Genomic DNA, 21,864 nt, shown 5'->3' with positions numbered 1-21,864 from the left:
CTTGTTGGCGTGAGCCTGTGGTCCCAGCTACTTCAGAGGCTAAGGTGAGTGGATGGCTTGAGCCCAGGAGGTCGAGGTGCAGTGAGCTATGATTGCGCCACTGCACTCCAGCCTGGGCAACAGAGCAAGACCCTGTCAAAAAAGAAGAAAGAAAGAAAAGAAAGAAAGAAAGAGAGAGAGAAAGAGAGAAGGAAAGAAGGAAGGAAGGAAAGAAGGAAGGAAGGAAGGAAGGAGAAAAGAAAAATAAGCACAGGATATGAACAGACAGTTCACAGTAAAGGAAACACAAATAGCCTTTAAATAGCCCTGGTGGGCTCAACCTCACTCAGAGTAAGAGAAACGGAAATCACTGGGATACTGCTGTTCGCTTACACGATGGAGAAATATGAGAAAAAATAGTTACGGTAACCACTGCTTGTTGCTGCCATTTATCTTCCCCAAGATCACTTACCTTCACTCCATGAAGCTTTACTCCTGGATCATTATATACACCCTTGAACATTTGTCCCTGTCATAATTCTTGGTTATTTCAATGTCAGTATAGACAGATAATTATTCCAATGCACTCTCTTCTCCATTCCGTGAGCATCTTTTCTCCAACGATCTTGTCTCCACCTTCCCTGGCCACGCATTACCAATTCAACCCTGAATCCCATCTGCAGGCAACCCATTCTCCATCCACCTAACATCCAGTTCAACCCCTGTCTCATATCTCAACTCCAACAATCCTTTGGCCCCATCAGAATTGATGTCCACACTCTCATCATACTCGTCTCTTTACCCAGCTTAAATCCTTCCATTTTTAAAAAATAAATATCCCTTGCACATACATTTCAGTCTCTTGCCCTCTCATGTTTCCTTCTACTCAACTGACAAACCTCTAACTCTGGTTTTATGCAACCACTCACCTGTTCTGCACCTGCACCTGTGCAGCTCAACATGGCTGGAGAAAGTTATCACCAAATTTATGATCATAAACGTCAAGGGTACCCTCAGTGCCGCTTGTCAATCACATGACATTCATCCCCCTGGTTCACTCACTCTCTTGGATAACTATATCACGCCCTCTAGTGTCTCCCTCTCTATCCTTATCTTCCACTGTTGACCTTGGTTCTCAGTTCATGGAGAAAACAAAGCAATCAGAAGACAACATCCAAGCTCCCACTTGGATATACCCATTTATCCACTTCTGTGTCCATGTCTCTGTCTTCCCTGCTTTTCCATGGATGAACTGTCTATGCTCCCAGCTAAAACCAGCCTCTCTACCTATGCACTAGGTCACATCCCTTTTGCCACCTGAAGGATATTGCTTCAGCAATTCTCCCCTCTCTCTTGCATCCTCATTTTCCCCTTCCCTCCTGGCTGTTTCTCGTCAGCATATGAGCAAGCTGTATTTTTTCTTGGCACTACACAGTGCTCCAGACATCATCTGATTCCTTTGATTTCTTTAGAGCAAAACTCAAAAGAGTTCCTCTACTCACTGTCTCCAATCTCTCTCCTCCTGTTCTCTCTTAGACACAATTCTATCAGTCTTCTGCCCCTCAACTCCACTGAAATGACTCCCGTGACAGTCACCAATATCCTCCTCATTGCTAAATCTAATGGTCAGTCCCTAGTCTTTGTTATCATACCCATGAGCAGCACTGGACACAGATGCCTCCTTCTTGGAACATTTTCTTATCTTGGCTTCAGGACACGACACTCCCCTGACTTCCCTCTTACCTTGCTGGTCACTTCTTCTCATTCTCCTTTGCTGGTTCCACATCTCCATGACCTCTAAATACTAGACACCTCAGGATTCAGTTCTTAGGCCTCTTCTGTTTGCTATCAACACTCATCCCCTCGATGATTTCATTCATTCAAATTTACATCTGCAGCCTGAACCTTTCTCTTGAGTCCCATCCTCATGTTTTCTGTGGCTTTTTCAGCTCCTCACTTGGATGTTTAGTGAGCATCATAAACATAACATGCTCAAACCAAACTCCAGATCTTTCTCCTCCAAAACCTGCTCTTCCCCAAATCACACCCTTCTCAGGAAACTCCATCCTTCTAAGTTGATAGGTCAGAAACCTTGGAGACATCTTTGAGTCTTTGACTCTCTCTCTCTCCTTCCATAACAAATCCTGTCAGTCCTGCCTATGAAATGAAATGTACACAGAATGCAGCCGCTTCTTACAACCTCCCCTATAGCATCCCTAGTCTCAGCTTCCATCATCCTTCACCTGGGCTATTGTACTGGCTTCCTAACTCATCTCCCTGCCTTGTACAGGTCATTGTCAATATGGCAGCTAGAGTGATCTTGCTAAAATATAAGGCAGGTCTTATCATTCTCAACACCCCTCAATGGCTTCCATGTCCTGCCAAAGCCCTTACAATGACCCACAAGTGTGGCCTCCATGCAGCCTATAAGACCCTGCATGGTCGTGCCTTCCTCTGCCCCATTCATTATTCCTGACATCATTTCCTCCTACTACCTTCCTTGCTCCAGCCACCTGGGCCTCCTTGTTTTCCCTTAAACACAGCAGGCACACTCTTGCCGAGAATATTCTTCCCCCAGATACATAAATACATCGCTCACTCTCTTACTTCCTTGAGGTCTTGGCTCAAATGTCATCTTTTCAGTGAGACCTTAAATACCCTAAAGCTTCAAACCTTCCTTCCTAGGCACTCCCAGATCTTCCTCAATGGCTTTATTTTTCTTAGCTGTTATCACCATCTAACATGCTATGTATTTTTTTCATTTAGTTTGTTAATGTCTATTTCCCCTACCAGATTGTAAGCCCGTGAACACAAGGCTTTTTGTCTATTTTGGTCATTGCTTAATCCACAGCATGTAGAAAAGTTCTTAGCACAGAGTAGATGCTCAAGAATTGTTGATTGAACAAATAAACAAAAATACTTAATTGGCCAGAGTGTAAGGAATAGGCATTCTCAAAATTGCTGGTTTCAATGCTGTTGGTATAACCCCTACAGAGATCGAATTGGCAGTAGCTATCAAAACTACAAATGCACATATTCTTTGTCCCAGCAATTCTACTTAGTAATAGCCTTCATATAAATTTACACGTGTGAAATGGCACATGGACAAAGTAATTCACTGCAGCATTTTTAAATCCCTGAAAAGGGATGAAAACAACCAAAATGTCCAGCAATATCTGACTATTTAAATAAATTATGGCATACCCATACAATGAAATATTTTGCAGTGGCAAAAAAGAATAAGGAGACTTCTTGTGTCCTGATGTAAACTCCCAGATCTAAATTTTTCAAGGAAAAAGAAAGGTGCTGAAAGTTCTGCTTCCTGCCACCATTTTAATTTTAATTTAATTTTATTATTATTATTATTATTATTATTATTATTTTAGACAGGGTCTCACTCTGTTGCCCAGACTGGAGTGCAGTGGCACAATCACAGCTCGCTGCAGTCTAGACCTCCTGGGCTCAGGTGATCCTCCCACCTCGGCCTCCTGAGTAGCTGGGACCACAGATGTACACCACCATGCCCAGCTAATTTTTGTGTGTGTATTTTTTGTTGAGATGGGATTTTACCCTGTTGGCCAGGCTGGTCTCAAACTCATGGGCTCAAGCAATCCCCCTGCCTCAGCCTCCCAAAGTGTTGGGATTACAGGCATGAGCCACTGCACTCAGCCACTGTCACCATTTTTATAAAAACAAAAGGAAAGGGTACAAAAAGAACATATAACTATTTTGTTGTATATGCACAGACTATCTCAGGAAGGATACAACAGAAACTGCTAATAGTGGTAGCTTATTTGGTGGGGAATGGATGGGTGGGAGACAGAGGTGGGAGACAGTTTGCTGTAAACCCTTTTAAGCTTCTTGAATTTTTGCACCTATGAATGCTTTTTCTATTAAAAGGAGAATAAGATATGGTTTATGTTCCTGTGTGGAATATCTAAAATATATTGTTACCAAAAAAAAAAAACATGTACAGTATGCTCTACATAGGGGTGGAGGGAGACTTCCTTTTCATTATTTACTGTTTTGTACCATTTGAATTTTACACCTTATTTATGCATTTCCTCTTCAAAAAGAAGTAGGCCAGGCACAGTGGCTCATGTTTGTAATCCCAGCACTTTGGAAGGTCGAGGTGGGTGGATTGCTTGAGCCCAGGAGTTCAAGACCAGCCTGAGCAATATGGCAAAACCCGGTCTCTACAAAAAATACAAAAAATTAGCCAGGTGTGGAGGCGTGTCCTTGTAGTCCCAATTACCTGGGAGGCTGAGGTGGGAGGATCACCGGAACCTCGGAGATTGAGGCTGCAGTGAGCCATGACCACACCACTGCACTTTAGCCTGGGCGACAAAACAAAACAAACACACACACACAAAATAAAGAAATAGAAATCATGGTGTGCAAATGCACTTTTACATGCATCACCTCGACAATTCTATGACTGAAACCTGCCAGCTCTTTCCCCACTTTTCCAGTGAAAGAAACGAATGTTCAGAGAAGTCAGGTCAGACAGCACAGGGGTGAACTGGGAACCTGAGCCTGGTTTTTGCTGACATGACCACGCTGGCCACTCCACCTGGACGGTTCCTGAGTGCTGGTTCCTCCCCTCCCTTCCCACCCCCCTCTCAACCTCCCTGCCCTCCCTGGCTCCTTCTCTCAGGGAGTCGGGGAAAGCAGCTCCAGAAAGTTGGCCACCTGGGGCCTCACTCAGGGGCCACGGCTGGAGGCTCCCTGGTGCCTGGCAGTTTCCCTCTCTGCTCAGAGCCACCCAACCTGGTGCCCCGGGGGGGCTGCTCCGCTCCTCCCTTGAGCCTTGGTGCTCTGTGGTTGAAAACAGCTGCCCCTCCCCCACTCTCCTCTGAGCTTCCAGGCCCCCTCCCTGAGCCTGTACCTGTCAATGATGACGGGGTCTGAGGGCGTCTCATTCCGGTTGCCACAGCTCTTCCGGTCACAGCACCGGCTGAAGGAAAGATGAGGAAGGAGGGAAGGCAGAAGCCAAGGAAGGAGGGGGCCACGACAGTGTGTGAGTTGTGGGGGGCGCCCTGAGCTGAGGGTGCTGATGTCCTGTCTCTGGGTGTGGAATCCCTGGGCTGGAGGGGCTCACTCCCAGGGCTTGGGGGAGAAAGGCTGTGGGCTCCTCCGCAGGGACCCTGAGAGCCTAGCCTGGGGATGAGGCTGGCCAGAGACCCCTGCCCCAAAGGCACCTCGTTCCTGGAGGACCCAGGAAAGGGCAGGCTGCAGGTCACCTACAGGGTTTCTCTCTATGGAAGCACAGTCTACGCAGAGACAGGAGCTCAAACGGTGAGCTCATGAATGACCACAAAGTGAATCTTTTTTTCTTTTTTTTGAGACAGAGTCTCATTCTGTCACCCAGGCTGGAGTACAGTGACGTGATGTTGGCTCACTGCAACCTCTGCCTCCTGAGTTCAGGCAATTCTTGTGCCTCAGCCTCCTAACATAGCTGGGATTACAGGTGTGCACCACCACGCCTGGCTAATTTTTGTAATTTTGGTAGAGACGGGGTTTCACCACGTTGGCCAGGCTGCTTTTGAACTCCTGGCCTCAAGTGATCCGCTCGCCTCGGCTTCCTAAAGTGCTGGGATTACAGGCGTGAGCCATTGTGCCTGGCCAATGGATGGCCACAAAGTGAATCTGCCCATGAAAGCAGCATCCACACCAAGAAGTGCTGCGTGGCCAGCAGCCCAGATGCCGGTCATGCCTCTTCCTTGTCACTCCCTTTTCCAAGGGTAGCCACAGTTCCAACCACAGATTTATTTAATTTAAATTTATTTTACTTTATTTATTTTTTTAGAGACAGGGTCTGGATCTGTCACCCAGGCTAGAATGCAGTGGTGCAATCATAGCTCACTGCAGCCTTGAACTCCTGCGCTCATGCCTCAGCCTTCCTGCCTCAGCCTTCCAAGTAGCTGGGATTACAGGCGCCTGGCTACCAACCACAGATTTCAGAACCCTGTTCTCTTTTCCATGCATCAGGAACTGCCTCCGAGGACCCTGTACGACTGGCATCTCTTGGGGAGACCTTACTAGAAATGCCAAGCTCTGGGATAATGGGGAAAAGGGAGCCAAGGGCTGTGCACCCCTTCACTCCCACCCTGCCCTGCCAGAGAGCTGCCCTAGGATTCAAAATTTCCTCAAAGATTAGCTTCTGAGCTAATCCCAGAGGCCTTCCCAGACCCTGTTCCCGCAACCCCAGCAGCCCTCCCCTGAGCTTTATTAGCTAAGCTTCCCAGTGGCAGCAGGAGGCCTCTCTTACAAAAACACTCGGAGAAGCCACATAAACAGGCCAGGCTAATGGGGCCTCAAGGACCCTCTCCTCAGCCAGCGCTGTGCCCAGGGGCCTCACCACTCCCTTCATCACCTGCCACCAGGCTTCTCCAGGGAGCAGCAGCAGAGAGCAGCCAGGGGCAAGGGCGGCGAGGGGGCAGGGCCTGGGTAGAGTCCTCAGAAACGCCTTGGCAGAGGGGTGAGGTGTGAGTGACATGGCCATCTCACCTGCACATGATCTCATGGGTGAGCAGCACTCGGCACATTTCGGGGTTCTTGTCCTGCCCCTCATAGATGATGGCCTGGGGAGAGGGAGGTGCACAGGCTGGAGGGGAAGGAGGCTCCTCTGAGGTGCAGGTGGCAGCACAGACGGACCTGGCATCTCCCAAGCCTAGGCCCAGGGAGACCCTGCCCCAGGGAAGAGCACGCCCTCTGCCTTGCTCTGGGCTGCCCAGGCGGGGGATAACCCCTCCTCCCAAACCGGACCACCACCGGCTGGCAAGAATGGTATGAAGTCTGCAGATTCTGTCTGTCTGTAGGTGGCTCTTTCCAGAGCTGGCTCTGCTTGGGGCAGGGGGTTCCTCAGGGTGCCAGGACAAAGGTCAGGTGGCTGGTGGGGTAGACATACTCCTGTGCCCACCCAGCACCAGGCCCCTCCCCTCCCCCAGCATCCTCCTGTGTGCATCCTCCATGTCCTGACGGACCTCTGCTTCTGTTGATGAGTGTTGTCCTTCTCAGCTATCCCTGCCAGCCCAGTCAGCTCCGAGGGCTGCACAGCTGCCTCTTCCCCCTAGATAACTATCGCCTCTTCCCCCATACCATCCCTAGCCCAGGCTCGGTCTTCCCCTGGGACTGCTGCATCACCTCCTCACCAGTCTTCCAGCCTCCCTCTGCCCAGAAGCAAGAAGTGAGCTTCCTAACTGCAAATCTGCCTTCCTAGTTTATAACCCTCTGTGCCTTCCCCCATTTGTGGGATCCCTCTCTCTGTGGACTTCCTCGAACCCCTTCCACACCCGTCCCCTTGACAGTTCCACTAGGCACTGCCTGGCCTGCCTCCCCCAGCCCAGTGGCCATGGGTATTCTAGAAACAAACCATTCTTCCCTCTGCCCTGGGATTGGGTGGAGGCTGCCAAAAGACCCTGCCTATGTAGGAAGCCCAGATCTCCAGCTTGCATTCCTAGCCCACTAATCTGGCCCATTTGAGACTCAGCCCCCTCCTTGCCAGCATGCACAGCTTCTCTGAAAAGCCCTGAGATTTGGGGCCCTGTGTTGGCAGAATCCATCAGAGCCTGTTCAGGTTTCAGTTTCCTCCAGCTCCTTGTGCTGGCCTCTGAGCCTCCTTCCCGTAACCGTCACATCAGCAAGGTGCAAGGGTCTGCAGTGGAAATTCCCAGGGCTGTGCCCACATCCCCTTTACTGGAAATGTGCACCTTCCCGTGGCTGTGGCTGATGTCAGCTGCAGAGGGCTTCCTCCTGAGAACTGCTCTCAGTGGACAGGAACTGCCTGGTCTGAAAATGTCTCAGAGGTTACGTGCTACCCTTAGGAGTGGTTCCCAGCCAATGACTAATTGATACGGGGTGCAAAATCCTGGTACTTGCTTCGAGGGGGGACACTTCTGGTGCCATTCCTTCTCCAGAGCTCCCTGTGCAGTTTTCTGTCCAGCTTACCTCCCTCCCCTGCTCCTAGGAGCCCCTCCCATCTCCCCAAATAAACTACCTGCACCTGAGTTCCCATCTAAGGCTGGGCTGCTAGGAAACATGACCCAAGCCAGGGTTTTTGTACAAATATTGTCTTTTCTAGAACAGAGGGCAAAAGCCACACACCCTCCGGCACAGGCTGGGGTGGGAACTGGGGGAGCTAGGCTGATGGGGACGGAGGGCATAGGGAGATGAGGGCAGGAACAAGGAGGCTCACTCAGACCAGGGGGAGGCAGGGTCCGGGAAGAGAGTGAGATGGGCCTCAGCACCCTCTGCGCTGACTCACCTGTTTGGACATGGAGTCGATGAGACGCACGTAGAGGTCTTGCTCTGTCCGCAGTCCTAGGATGGGAAGATGGAGAGGGCTTGCTGCTGGGGGAGCATGTGCAGCCTCAATGACCAGACCACATCACACCCTCCCCAGCCCTGGCACAGGGGGCATTAGGTGTCGCATGATGCTGCAGTGCCCAGACTTCAGGGGCAGGGCTGGGTAGGGCAGGGGCCTCCACTCACCATTGTTATACACCAGCCGGAGGCGGTAATGGATCCCATTGTTAGTCTTTTCCGCCCCGGGCTCCTGCAGGGACAAGATGGGAGGATGCTCGGGTGCTCAGGGATCCTCCAGCCTCCCTTGTCCACCCCTTCTCCTAACCCCAACTTCTTTCCCACCCTTCCAGCCACTCAGCCAGCTTCCATCCATTCATCTGTCCCAGTGTGTGTGTGTGTGTGTGTGTGTGTGTGTGTGTGTGTGTGTGTGTGTGTGTGGTTGGGGGTTCCCTCCCGGGGCCAGTCCCAGCCAAGCCCATGAGCCTCTCACTCGGTCCTTTTCCACGAAGTCGATGAAGGCTGTGCGCTCCACCTCCACGGGCTGCCCCTGCCGGTCGTACATGGCCAGCACGAAGTGGAAGAAGTTGGATTTCCTGAGGTTGGAGGGAGGCTGCTTCTCAAAATGTGCTCGTGCCAGACCCACGCCACTGTGGGAGGAAAAGAGCTGGAAAACCACTGGAAGGCCCCCCAGTGAGAAAGACTCCAGCGCCTCGGGCCAGGCAGGCATGCTAGCCAGGACATGGCTCCAAGATGCCAAGAGTTTGGGCAAAAAATCCAACTAGACAGGCCCTTTCCAGCCTGACCAGGGCCATCTCGCTTCCAGATAGAGGTCTCTCAGCACCTAGGGCACCCCAGCCTGCCCCCTGGAAAACAAGAGGCAGAGTGGTGACTGCAAAGGAGGAGGCCCTGTCAGTCTCCCTCCCAGGCTTTTCCCTGGGCAGCACATTTTGCAAGGCCAGTCTCAAAAATCAAAAGTATGAACCAATCTGTCTTTCTGACCAGAGGCTCTTGTGACTGCCCTTTAGGGCTTCAAGGAGACCCCGGGGGCCCTAGAACAAATATCCCACTAAACCCCAGCCCAGGCTGAGGCTGTCATGAGCCTGTGGTGTTGCCTGGGGAATGGCGATGTCCATCAGACCCTTGGAGGCATCAAACTGGCTCAGGACCACTAGTCTGCCTGGCCTGGGCCCTGGCTGAAGGTAGGGAGCACCCCCAAAGTGTAGAGGAACCTGCCTCCAGGCTTTGGGAGAGACAACCACAGGCTCCCTTGGGCAGGAGGAACTTCTCTTCTGGCCTTGCTAAGGGATCTCTCCTGGCTCATCAGAAACCATGCCCAGAAGCAAGGCCAGAGTGAGAGCAGGAGGAAGGCATTCCCTCTTCCCCAAATATCCCCTGCATCCCAGTGATACACCAAGCACTGGACACATGGCAACAACTGGGGCTAGGAGCAAATGCCTGGAAGAGGGGAGACAGAGAGAGAGGTACAACATCAGACAAAGGGGCAGGTGCCCCCCAAAGATGTCCATGCAAAAAAACTGGAGAAGCAAAGGAAGAAAATATTAATTCTTTTTATGGGAGATGAAGGGAAGGCTTCATGGAATGGTGGCTTTCCCCTAAGTCCTTGAGGAATAAACAGGAGCTCAACAGATGAACAAGAAAAAGGGCAGAATAAACAGCACAAGGAATGGCTGGATGTGTAGAGGCTGCTGCTGTACCGCAGGTGTCAAAAAGCGAAGTGAAAGGAGGAAAGTTTGTACTGGAAGTTCGTGCCAGATCATGGAAGGACACAGACACCAGGGGAAGGGGTTAGATTCTCTTCTCTGAGCCACGGCCTTCCAAAGTGTGTTCCTTAGATCTCTCATGGCTCCAGAGCCTCCCTTTAGAAAAGGGTGCTGTGGCCACAGACATGGGTGTATTTGGGGGCCCCTAGGACACCCTCCAGGAATGTACCCTGCTTGAGTTGGCTAGGGCTGGTGCTCTGCATGTGTGGAAGCCAGCCTACAAGATGGTTCCCAGTGAGCCCCACCCCCTGGGATTCATGCCCTTAGTTAGCCCCCTCTTGTATTGTGTTGGGATTGGCCTGTGAGGTCAATAGACTATGGCAGGAGTAATAGCATATAACTTCCAAGGTTAGATCATAAAAGCACTGCAGCTTCTGACTTCTTCCCTTTTTTGGATTAGTGATTCAGGGGGAAGCCAGCTGCCATGTCTTGATGACACTCAAGTAGCCCTATGGAGAGGTCCACAGGGAGAATAACTGAGGCCTCCTGCCGATAGCCAGCCCTGACTTGCCAGCATGAGCGACCTTGGAAGCAGATCCACCCGCCTCAGTCAATCCTTCAGACGACTGCGGCCCCAGCTCTCATCTTGCTGCAGCCTCATGAGAGGCCCTGATCCAGAACCACCAGGCTAGTCTGCTCCCTTATTCTGACCTCAGAAATTGTGTGAGATAATAAATGTTTGTTGTTTTAAGTTGCTAAGTTTTGGAGTCGGTTTTTTTTTTCTTTTTAGATACAAATTTGAAGACTTGGGCTCAAGACCTGCCCCGCCTTTTTTTCTTCAAGGCAGGATCTCACTCTGTCACGCAGGCTGGAGTGCAGGCTGCAATCACAGCTCACTGCAGCTTCGACCTACTAACTCAAATGATCCCGCTGCCTCAGTCCTCCAAGTAGGTGTGACTACAGGTGCATGCCTCCACACCCGGCTAAATGATCCTTCTGCCTTGGACTCCCAAAGTGCTGTGATTACAGGCATGAGCCACCATGCCCAACCTGGAATACTTTTTTTTGAGACAGGGTTTTGCTCTGTCATCCGGGCTGGAGTGCAGTGGCGTGATCATAGCTCACTGCAACCTTGAACTCCTAGACTTAAGCGATCCTCCTGCCTCAGCCTCCCAAAGAGCTGGGATTACAGGTGTGAGCCACCATACTCAGCTTGGAGTAACTTTTTTTTTTTTTTTTTTTTTTTAAGACAGGGTCTTGCTCTGTTGTCCAGGCTGGAGTGCAGTGGTGTGATCTCAGCTCACTGTAGCCTCAACCTCTGGGACTCAGGCAATCCTCCCACCTCAGCCTCCTGACTAGCTGGGACTACAGGCATGCACCACCATGCCTGGATAATTTTGTTTACTTTTTGTAGAGATGAGGCTGGACTTGAACTTCTGGGCTCCAGCTTTCTCCCATCTTGGCCTCCCAAAGTGCTGGGATTACAGGTGCCAACCACTACACCTGGCCAACTAACACACCCTGCTTACCTGACTACGGAGCACTTTTGTTGAGGGTCATGGTTTCGGAAACATGACTAAAGGCCACTAGAAAGTTCTGAAGCCAGGCAGGGCTTAAAGATGCTATGGGGGAAAGGAGGGTGCAGTGTGGGGGACAAGAGAGAGGCTGCTGCAGGGATGCAGGGGAGTGACCAGGATGGGGAACTGCCTTGAGGACCACTTAGGTCAGCTTGTCCAGGTGCCCATCATGAGCATGCTCCTGTGACAATGGCTGCCACAGTCACCACTACTTACTATTTTTCTTCATATAACTTTAAATCAATTTATTCTTTTACTTGGCTTCAGGCTAAGCCATAACACCTGGGATGTCATGGGCATGAGGGACTTGCTATTGTTTTACACATACAAGTTATAATAAATAGTAAAATGGAAAATGTTTCCTCCTCTTGAAAGCTTGCCCCGGAGCCTCCCTCAGTTATCCACATGAAATGCTGACTTAGGAGGCAGAAGCCATAAGTCTTCTTGTCCCTGATCAAGATGAGGGGAGGGGACCTCCAGTATCTTTTTTTTTTTTTTGAGACAGGATCTTGCTCTGTCACCCAGGCTGGAGTGCGGTGGCACAATTATAGCTCACTGCAGCCTCAACCTCCTAGGCTCACGTGATCCTCCCACCTCAGCCGTCCGAGTAGCTGGGACTACAGGCATGAGCCACCATGCCCAGCTAATTAATTTTGGAGAGATGGGGTCTCACTGTGTTATCCAGGCTGATCTTGAACTCCTGGGCTCAAGCGATCCTCCTGCCTTGGCCTCCCAAAGTGCTGGGATTATAGTCTTGAGCCACTGCGCCCGGCCTCAACACCTTTCTTTCTGACCACAGATTCTTTTTACAGATGCTCCTTTCCCTAGGGAATTCACTGTCCCTCCATCTTTCCCTGCTCCCTCCACCCCCTTGCCCTCAGGCTGCAGTCCTTTCAAGTTGAGGCCTTGATCGCCCCTCACCCGCTCCCCAGCCAGCAAGAGGCAGGGAAGCCCTAAGAGGGCTTTCGATCACAGCGGGGCCCTGATTACTGTTGATGAATATGCTAATGAGGCCTCAACCCTGAGCTCCTCCCTCCTGCTCCCAGGACCAGCTTAACTTGAACTCCACTGGGGATGGGTTCCAGGACCACCTAGTGGGAGAGAAGGCCAGAGGAGATGGGTTTGTGAAGCACTCCCAGGTCCCTGTGGCTTTTATATCCTGTCATCTAGCCCAGCGAAGGGGCCTGGAAGGCTCTCAGGCAGTGGGGAGGGAGGCTATAGAGAGAAAAGGAAGCCTTGCCAGAGGAGTGGTGGGTGCTGAGAAATAACGGAATCTCCCAGACCACTGGACATGCCCTTTCTACACAGACACCCTGCAAGTGCTCAGGCCAAATTCCAGACTGGTGCAGCATAAATCACAGATGCTGGCCTGAGCTTCCTGTCCCACCCAAATATCAGCCATTGCTGGGTCCTGGCTGCCCCCCAGCTCCTGCCAGGCTGCTGAGGACCAGACCTGGGAAGTCTGGCATAAGCCCCAAGCCAAGCTTCCTTCCCAGGGCTCAGCATCCCTGCAGGAGGGGATTACACAGGAGCAAGGGCACAGGGACCTGGGAGGGGGGAAGACAGCAGGTTCCCCTGGGGTCTCTGGGCCAGTGTCTCCTGCCAGCTGGGGGCATGGAGGGGCTGCCCTGCTTTGCATGCCTGTGCCCTGCCCCATAGTAGGTTTAGGATCAGTCCACTGCCCCGAGGCAGCCCAGAGCGGCATCCTGCACTTCCCCAGCACGGCTCAGTGGGTCTGAGGCACACTCATCCTCCCAGGCTCACACCCACCCATGGAGCAGCACTGGTTAGTTTACAGCTGCAGGACAAGATCCGTGCCATGGACAACAACAGGGCAGTGTTAATGACGGCCCCCGCCCCTTCCAACCAGAGGAGGACTGCAGAGTGGGCAAGAGCCCTGCAGCGCACATGGGGCTGCCCCTTGCCTGGGAATGTCTCCGGCTCACCCTGTTCATAGCCCTGCCAGGCTTGGAGAAGCTCAAGCAAAGGATACTTCCTATGAACAAGAGACGGAGAAGGACACGAGGAACAGCATGTTGCGGGGAATAGGACTCGAGAGCAACAGAGGCAGGTGTGGACGGTGCCTCCTTCTCCTGATTGACCCCAACATGCAGGAGGTGACCAATCAACACTTGTAGAATGGAAATGCAAGTTCCAAAGAGAGAGGGCTGGGGAAGGGGAAGGGGAGATTACAAGCTGATTACAAGCTGATGCTCTTGTAATGAGAAAACAAACCCGGACTAAAGAACAGAAAAAAAGAAACAGGGATAGAGACTCAAACAGCTCAGGAGGTGCTGAGTGGTCTGAGGGCCCCTGATGAGCACATCCTGGGTGCAGATGTGTGGGGACACAGGTGGGATGTGGGGGCCACTGTCTGCTCTCAGACTGGCTTAGAGACAGAGAGATGTGGACCAAGGCCAAAGTCTTTGATCTCATGGTGCCGCTCCAAAGTGGCGCTGCCTAAGACAAACATTGGGGTGTGGAGAGAAACTGCACGTATGTCTTTTGATATGTATCCTTAATTTAAAAGAAAGAAAGGGGGAGAGAAGGGGGAATAGAGCCTCTGAAGCCTGGAGAGGCAAGTATTTTATTTGGGTTCCCCGAGAAGCAGACCTGGGGACAAGGATGCAAATACCAACAGTGTTATCTGGGCAGTGATTCGGAAACACTGGGGGTTGGGGGTGAGACAAAGATGAGAAAGCAGCCTATAGAGGGTGCATTTTCAAGTCCCCACTGTAGGCACCTGGAGCTCCATCCCACGGGGAACTCTGGAAACAGCATGGAATGTGTGCCTCAGCATTATCCCACCAGAGGGATGGGTGAGGGAGCTGGGGTATTTATCCACCAACTCCAGTCAGTCACTGGTGGAGGGCTTCTACGGCTGTTACTTCTCAGGTACTTCTGGGCTGAGCAGAGCAGGCTCTGGCAGCCTGAGCAAGTCCTCAAGCAAAGGGAAGCAGCTAACAGCAGGGGAGGCAGAGCCTTGACCAATGGTCCTGAGGGGATGTGGGTGGGTACCAACTGCCAGCCATTCAGAGGCCTGGGGTACGATGGATGCCAGCAAAGCTACAGCCCCAAGGGCCTGAGTGCAGCTTGGCAGGTATCAGTTTATGACAAATACAAGTAAGAACTGCCTCACCTGGCACATGTACTGCTGGCACCCATAATTCAGAAACAGCTTATTCACTTAGCATCATTAGTGAACAAACCATGCCACATAAACGCCTTTTCCAGAGAAATGCAGCTGAGTGACAAAATCAGCCACATTAACCACTTCTGCAAGACTGCAAAATGAATTATACATTTCCTCGCTTTCTTAAAAAGATTGTTTAAAGCACAATGTTCAAAACACTTTCTTCTCAACTCCAGAGTGTCCTGAGGCAGTGGGACATTTGCCCCCGTACTAAAGAACCCAGATTTGGGAAGAGAATATGCTCGCTTTTGTATTTTCATTGTGCCCCACTCACCTCCTTTCCATCTTTCATTCTTAAATAGACCGAAAATTAAAGGAGACTGTTTGAGACACCAAAAAAGATTTACGTTGCACAGATGCATTTTGGTCAGAGTCAACATGCTTTGTAGTGAGCATGGGTGTGCATGGACTTCCTGAGCACTGTTGGGAATCCAGGTTCAAGTCAACACCAAGGGCAACCTGACCTTCACAGACTAGGTCATTCAGGTGGACTGTGCTCCAGAGTGTATGCAGATGCCTGTGGGGAGATGCCAGCAGCTGCAGAGGTGTCTGACTGCTATTGCTGGGGCTGCCCAGCAGGTCCCGGGAGATGCTCCTTTGCAAGGCTGAGCAGGACACTCCAGGGCCCTTTTCGCGGCAGCTGCTCTCCCCTGCCACAGCATAACTGTCTGGTACAGACAAAGCCCCCCTCACAGTCTCTGTTCTCTCTTCCCAAGGCCACTCACGGCTCTTCACATCCTTGACTGCATGCTTGTTATAGTAAGCAATTTAACCACAGCCAGCTCAAATCCCACAGAGGACAAGTGACCAAGGCTGGAGCCTCGGCCTCCTCTCAGAGGCACCCCCAGGCGTCTTGCCTTCCCTTCTCCCCACCAAAACCTAACTCCTGGCTGCCTTGATAACTCAAGGTTTTGAGCCGTGCCTTGCCCTGGTCCTAATTTGTCTTTGAGTCTGGGATGCTAGGGCTACGGGGGACAAGCCCTACTTTCATCAGTAATGGGGGGAGGCTCTTTGTTGACACCCATCACCCCAGGAAGTGGAGGGAGCAAAAACTCCTGCATCTCATCCCTTTTCGCAGATTTCCCCAAAGTCTCTCTCTGCTAAGTCCAGCTCTTCTTAGCCCCATCCTGACAGGGCTCCACCAGTCCCTTTCCTCTACATCCCCCCTTCCTCCAAGCATCCCATTGGCCCCTGCTCTCCCCTGCAGGCACCCTCTGGACCCCGGGACTGCTGATGATGATCAAGCTGGGCCTGGCCCTCCTGCCCCAGACAAGATCTATTGGCCTGGCCCTGCCCAGCCCCTGACATGCCAGCCCCTGGCCATGGTGCAGACTGGGGAAGATAAAAGCAGTAGCCCAGTGGGGCACACCCACCTCAACAATGCTTGCACAGGGAGGACCTGGTGGCTGCAGGCAGCTGCCCAGAGCCTGTGTCCAGTTGGTCCTGCTGGAGATGAGGTTTGGGTCTGGGGAGGGTCCCTATCCCCTCTTCCCACTGCCCCCAGCAGCTGCCCTGCTCACCTGCCCCAGGAAATTGGCACAGTGACCAAAGTCCCTGAGGGCAGGGGAAAGGGAGGGGGAAGAATCTCACAGGCCTGCTCTCCCCCTCTTCTTTTGGCCCTCAATTCTACCTAAAGACTCCCCACTCCACTGCTCTCTGCCCACCCTCTCGCCACCCACCCACAGGCCTGCCTGCCAGGTCCCAGGCTGAGAATCGGCTATGAATTATTAAAGCAAACAAAAGCATTTCCTAGCAGGGATGCTAGCCTGCAGCTGCTTACAGGAAAGGCAGCCCCAGCTGGCCTCCCTCTCCGGGGCCCTGCTAGTGTGCAGGGATCAGCTCCAGGGGGAGGTCTGGCCTGGGCCTTCCAGAGGTCTCCCCAGACTGGGAAGCACATCAGAAGGAGAAGAGAGCTACTTCTGTGCTGAGTGTGCCAGCAGGAGGACTTGAGTCTTCAGGGGAGTCAGGGGAAGATGGGCTGGGGCTGGGCAAATGGATCTCAGAGATAACGTCCTGTTGGCTCAGGGCAGGGGCAGGGGGTCCTTGTGCAGACTTCCCTGGTAGGAAGACATTGGTAGGGAGAGGGCAGCCCTCTCCACCAGCGTTCCCATCCCCATTGCCTCCAGTTTAAGGGTATGCAGCCCCTCTGCTCTCCCTACCCCCTTTTTCTTTCTTTCTTTTTTTTTTTGAGACAGAGTCTCGCTCTGTCACCCAGGCTGGAGTGCAGTGGCGCGATCTCGGCTCACTGCAAGCTCCGCCTCCCGGGTTCACGCCATTCTCCTGCCTCAGCCTCCTGAGTAGCTGGGACTACAGGCGCCCGCCACCACGCCCGGCTAATTTTTTGTATTTTTAGTAGAGACGGGGTTTCACCGTGTTAGCCAGGATGGTCTCGATCTCCTGACCTCGTGATCTGCCTGCCTCGGCCTCCCAAAGTGCTGGGATTACAGGCGTGAGCCATCGCACCCGGCCCTCCCTACCCCTCTTTTGCTCAGAACTTTCCTTCCTGTTGGCAGAGCCTCCCTCGCTGATCTTAGCAGGCCTTCTGGGCCTTTTCCTCCCCACCCACCTTCTGTAAAATCTTGGCATTGTTGTAAAAGTCAAGCTGTAGAACTGGGCAGGAGAAGCTGCTCCAGTAGCTGATTCCTGGGTCAGGTAGAACCTGGAGTCTTCCAAAGTCAAGAGGGGAACCAATATAAGGGGACTTGGGAGCCTCTGAGAAACATTACTGCTTCCTCCGGCAGACAGTCATCACCCCCATCCCCCATGGACTGCCTGAGCCTGCCCTGGGTGCTGTGGACACAAGGATGAACGGACCGCTACCCTTGCCTTAGGGGAAGGCCCCAGCTGGCAGGGCAAGGAGGACCGGGACAGGCAGAGGAGAGCAGATGCTGGCCTATGGTAAGCATTCGTAGGCAGCATTAAAGCCACTCCCGTGGGCAGGGTGGGAGGGCACAGAAAGAGCAGTTGCTGGGGTCGGTGGGTGTAAGAGGGAGTCCTGAGGCTGGTGAGACTTAATCCAGGGGATGTGCGGGTGCTGAGGGCAGAGGGATTGTTTCAATAGACCATAGCACTTACTGGAGGCGCAGCTAATTCTCCAAGTATCCACTGCCTGCCAAGCATCATGCAGAGGAGGCTGGGGAGGAAGGCTGGAGTCAGACCATGATAGGCCTTGAATGTTGGAGATATCCATGAGGAAGCAGTGGGGCTTGGGGGTTGGTCACTTTATTTTATTTTATTTTATTTATTTACTTATTTATTTTTGAGGCACAGTTTCACTCTGCCGCCCAGGCTGGAGTACAGTGGTGCGATCTTGGCTCACCGAAGCCTCTGCCTCCCGGGCTCAAGCAATCCTCCCACCTCAGCCTCCCAAGTAGCTGGCACTACAAGCATGCTTCACCACGCCCAGCTAATTTTTGTATTATTAGTAGAGACAGGGTTTCACCATGTTGGCTAGGCTGGTCTCGAACTCCTGGCCTCAAGTGAAACGCCCACCTTGGCCTCCCAAAGTGCTGGAATTACAGGCGTGAGCCACCGCGCCCAGCCTGGTCACTTTATTTGTAATCGGAGAGAGACATGATCTTAAAAAAGTACTTTGGAAATACTGCTTTGGTCCCCAATGCAGGGAAGATGGTTTTAGGGGAGTGGTGAATGGCTGGGGCTAGGCACTGGGCCAGGAGGCTGAGGTGGTAACCAGGGTGCAGTTAACCTTCAAGCCAGGGAGGAAGCGGGTGGAGGGCCAGGGGGTTTCATTGCTAAAAGTGGTGGCTGAGGGCACTGAGATTGGGACTAGGACACGGAAAAGAACATTCCTAAGCCTTGACAATCAGGCAACTGTGGGGTGAGGCTGAGGAAGGTGTCAAAGCCAACTCTCGGATCCCAGGGAGTCTTTTGGGAGAGCACTTCCGTGAAAGTTTCTCAGAGATGAGAGGGAGAGAAACCAGGCCGTGATGAAGGCGGAGGCAGGGCCAGGGGGAGGAATTTTCATTGTTGCTGTTTTGGGATGAGAAGACCCGTGCAGAGGACTGACTGAGGAACCAGATACAACTGTAGTGATGACAGACAACACGGGGAAGAGTGGGGAGGAAGGATGAGGCAGCTCCCTCTGGGACAGGGAGGAAAGTCAGCTGAACAACAAAGCGAGTGGGGGCTCCTAGTCTATGTCCTGAGACAGAGAAGTCTCCACACTTGGGGATTAGCAGACCGAGCCTGAAGAAAGCCCCTGTTCACATTGCGGAAGCCCTCTGCATCCCAGCAATGTGGCCCTCACAATGTGGGGAGTCAGACTGGACACCCCAAGCCCACTCAACCCCACTATGCGCAGACACCACTGCTGTGGCCCATGCTCTGGGGGAAGCCTTATCCCCACACTTCTTGAACCCCACGCAGTCTCCAAGGGCACTGCCTCCTTCACGTCTGCTTCCCCTTCATCAGACCTGCCTCTGGGTAGGCACAGAGGGAAAGGTTGCAGAGAAATGGAACCTTAACTCCCAGAGGCCCCCATCAGCACTCCTCACCCACTCTTACAAAGAGCTCTCGCCACACAGCAGGTGGTGGGGCCAAAGAGGGGGCCATGTTAAGAAACTAACCTTCTCAAGTTGAAAAAAAAAAAAGCCAGAACCAACAGAAGAATAGGCAGGAGGTGGAATTGTAAGCATAGCACAGGAAAACACAAGTTAATGGGAAGAAAAATAGGAAGGAAATACACTAAAATGTTGACAGTAGTTGTATTACAGAGGAGGGACTAAATTTTTTATTTTCCAATTTTTCTAGAATATAGCTATATCCCTTGTAAAAGTTTTGGAAATTAATTCATCCACAAGACCCTTTCTCTTCCGTAAGAGATCAGCTCCAGAGCCCCCCAGCGTTCCCTCCCGACAGCCAGGAAAGGACCGGCGTGCAGAAACGGCTTCAGTTTGCACATGAAGCGCGGTGTGTGTCTGTTACACGGTGAGGTTGAGGCGTCCTGCGGAGTGTGAATGTGGGCTCCTGTGTCAGGCCCGGTCTGCATTAAGCCCCCCATTCAGAATCCCTTCGGGCTGCTGCAACAGCTCAGACTTCTGGGAAGCCAAGTGCCCACCCTGTCCCAGCTGTCAGCAGAGCTGGCACCTCCCTAATCCTAACCACTGTGACTCCCCATAGGATACCTAAATGCCTCCCTCCATGGTCACAGCTGAAGGTGCAAAAAGCCAGGGGGTGCAGGGGCTTTGGGGGCAGGTCAATAAACTTTTAAAGTTCGCTTTCAAATCCTGGAGTCAACCCCCTACTGAGACTCCCAGACCCCTGCAAAGGAGTCAGAGGAGACCGGCGCGGGTGCTGGGTTCCCAGGGACTCTCTGCCTTCCAAAGGACCTACCAGAAAAACACCCGAGGGAAAGGCAGGGGCCCTGCCCAGTTCCCAGGCCAATCAGTCCAGCCAGGCCGACTGCCCACCTCATCTCTTCGCCACCGTCCAGCCCCCAGCCGCTTCTCTGGCTCTGCACACCCCCATCCGCCAACTCTGAGGGGCGTGGGAAAGGAAAAAGGGGGCTGGGTTTCGTGCCTTTCCTGACAGAGAGCTGCGGAATTGGACAAGGAGAGTCACTGGGACTGCCCAGGAAGGAGGGGCTGGACGTTCCTAGACGGCCGGTGGCTGTGGGTCATGGCTGGGAGCTCTGCCTCTTCTCTCAGAGCCATAGACAGCCCGGCTGGGGTGGCGTTCACCGCCGCACCCGCGAGCGGCCGTCAGAAATCTACCGGGGCAGCCCGGAGTGGAGGCAGAAGCCCCGCCCCAGCCCGCCCCACAGCCTCAGGAGGCAGCACAGGCACTCCGGACGGGGTGGGCCGGGGAGCTCGCCGGGACCGTCCAGAGTTAGGGCTCCTTCCGCCCCTGGCTCCAGCAGCTCCAGCAAGCTGAGCTGAGGCGGCGCGCAGCCGTCCAACCCGAGCGCACCGGGTCCGGTCCGAGCGCTTACCTCTGCGCCGCGGTGCTGGCGTCCAGGATGCCCGCGCCCTGCATCCAGGAGCGCACTGAGCCCAGGCCGGCGGGCAGCAGCGGCTCCTCCTTCAGGTTCAGCCCGCTGCGGGGCAGAGCGTCCTGCGCAGGGAACATGAGGGCGCGCGGTGAGTGAGCGCCCCCGCCGCCCCGGATCCGGTCCCGCTGAGGCTGCGGGCGTCTAGCTCAGCCCGACCCGACGGCACCAGGCGCCTCCAGCAGCGCAGCGCCGAGTCCGGGTGGCTCAGTGCGCGCTCGCCTCTTGGGCGCTCCCTCGGAGAAAGCGGGTCCGCGGGCGCCGGCGCTGTCCCCTCCCCTCCTGGGGCGCTGGGCGGGGAGATGGAGGGATTCCCCCGCGGCCTGAGCGCTGGCGGGCGGACTGCGAGCGGGGCGGGGAGGGCGGGGAGCGGAGCCCGCACCCGGTCCGCGCGGAGGCGCCCCAGAGGCGCGCTCTGGCGGCTGCCCGGGGCCGCGGTCGTCGGAGGGGGGGCCCGAGCGCCCCGGGAGCTGCCTCGGGCAAGGCGGGGGCGCGGGGCCGCCCGCCCTTTCCCCCTCGCCGCCCCCACCTCCCGCCCGCCCGCCCGCCCGCGGCGCCAGCGCGGGGCGCTGATTACCATCCGGGAGGCGGAGGCTGCGGGCGCGGAGCTCGGCGGCGGCGGCGACAGTGGCGGCAGCGGCGGCAGGAGCAGCAGCAGCCGCGCGTCCCGGGGAAAGGCTGGGGCCGCGCCGGGCCAGCAGACGCCGCCGCCGCCAGCGCCAGCGCCCCGCGTGCCCCGGCGTCCCGGCCCTGCCGTAGCCCCGGGCGGCAGCACCTGGAGCAGCAGCAGCAGCAGCCCGGCCGACTCCCCCCGGGGCCCGGTTCCCGCGCCGCCCCGCCGCGGCCGCCGCCGCCCGCCGCTCCCCGGGGCCTGGCCTCGGGCCCGGGCCATCCCGCCGCCGCCGCCGCCGCCGCCGCCGCTCCCGGGGGAGCGGTAGCCGAAGGGAGGGAGCGCAGGCGGGAGGAGGGATGTCGGGAGCGGGCGGGCCCAGGGGACGGGGGCCCGGGGGAGGCGGGGGCGGGGCGGCGCGGCCGGCCGAGGGGCGGCCGGGGACGTGACATCATCGGGGGAGGAGCGGC

At 54.2% G+C, this 21,864-nt stretch overlaps 1 protein-coding gene across 8 annotated transcripts in view, besides 4 other annotated features; it reads right to left on the bottom strand.

The window, feature by feature from the left end:
* The window catches only part of EBF4 (EBF family member 4), a 67,329-nt gene extending 45,599 nt beyond the window's left edge, over nt 1-21,730 (bottom strand). For 2 of the 8 annotated variants that reach the window (NR_138537.2, NM_001110514.2), the window contains exons 1-7: nt 21,362-21,730; nt 20,728-20,849; nt 8,777-8,933; nt 8,473-8,536; nt 8,246-8,301; nt 6,490-6,563; nt 4,868-4,936 (exon numbers count right to left, since the gene is read on the bottom strand). Coding sequence is in view for 6 of the 8 variants with exons in the window: in NM_001110514.2 (NP_001103984.2) it covers nt 4,868-4,936; nt 6,490-6,563; nt 8,246-8,301; nt 8,473-8,536; nt 8,777-8,933; nt 20,728-20,849; nt 21,362-21,676 (857 nt within the window). In the remaining 2 variants the exon portion in view is untranslated. Of the gene's footprint in view, nt 1-4,867; nt 4,937-6,489; nt 6,564-8,245; nt 8,302-8,472; nt 8,537-8,776; nt 8,934-20,129; nt 20,274-20,727 lie in introns of those variants that run through there. The other 6 variants (XM_017027984.2, XM_006723600.2, NM_001395167.1 and 3 more) reach the window with 6 other exon arrangements.
* Nucleotides 12,295-13,022: an enhancer, noted in NCBI's record as "OCT4-NANOG-H3K4me1 hESC enhancer chr20:2682134-2682861 (GRCh37/hg19 assembly coordinates)". NCBI's record gives its function as "activates a minimal SCP1, AML or CMV promoter by ChIP-STARR-seq in naive and primed H9 embryonic stem cells {active_cell/tissue: H9 hESC(naive and primed)}" and the evidence as "EXISTENCE:reporter gene assay evidence [ECO:0000049][PMID:30033119]".
* Nucleotides 13,023-13,751: an enhancer, noted in NCBI's record as "H3K4me1 hESC enhancer chr20:2681405-2682133 (GRCh37/hg19 assembly coordinates)". NCBI's record gives its function as "activates a minimal SCP1, AML or CMV promoter by ChIP-STARR-seq in naive and primed H9 embryonic stem cells {active_cell/tissue: H9 hESC(naive and primed)}" and the evidence as "EXISTENCE:reporter gene assay evidence [ECO:0000049][PMID:30033119]".
* Nucleotides 16,558-17,101: an enhancer, noted in NCBI's record as "H3K4me1 hESC enhancer chr20:2678055-2678598 (GRCh37/hg19 assembly coordinates)". NCBI's record gives its function as "activates a minimal SCP1, AML or CMV promoter by ChIP-STARR-seq in primed H9 embryonic stem cells {active_cell/tissue: H9 hESC(primed)}" and the evidence as "EXISTENCE:reporter gene assay evidence [ECO:0000049][PMID:30033119]".
* Nucleotides 19,575-20,559: an enhancer, noted in NCBI's record as "H3K27ac-H3K4me1 hESC enhancer chr20:2674597-2675581 (GRCh37/hg19 assembly coordinates)". NCBI's record gives its function as "activates a minimal SCP1, AML or CMV promoter by ChIP-STARR-seq in naive H9 embryonic stem cells {active_cell/tissue: H9 hESC(naive)}" and the evidence as "EXISTENCE:reporter gene assay evidence [ECO:0000049][PMID:30033119]".
* Nucleotides 21,731-21,864: the final 134 nt, after the last annotated feature.

Source organism: Homo sapiens, chromosome 20 (assembly GCF_000001405.40).
Source record: "Homo sapiens chromosome 20, GRCh38.p14 Primary Assembly".
NCBI classification, from domain to species: domain Eukaryota; kingdom Metazoa; phylum Chordata; class Mammalia; order Primates; family Hominidae; genus Homo; species Homo sapiens.
Note: the sequence above shows the minus strand (reverse complement) of the source record. Positions and strands in the feature narration are given on the sequence as shown.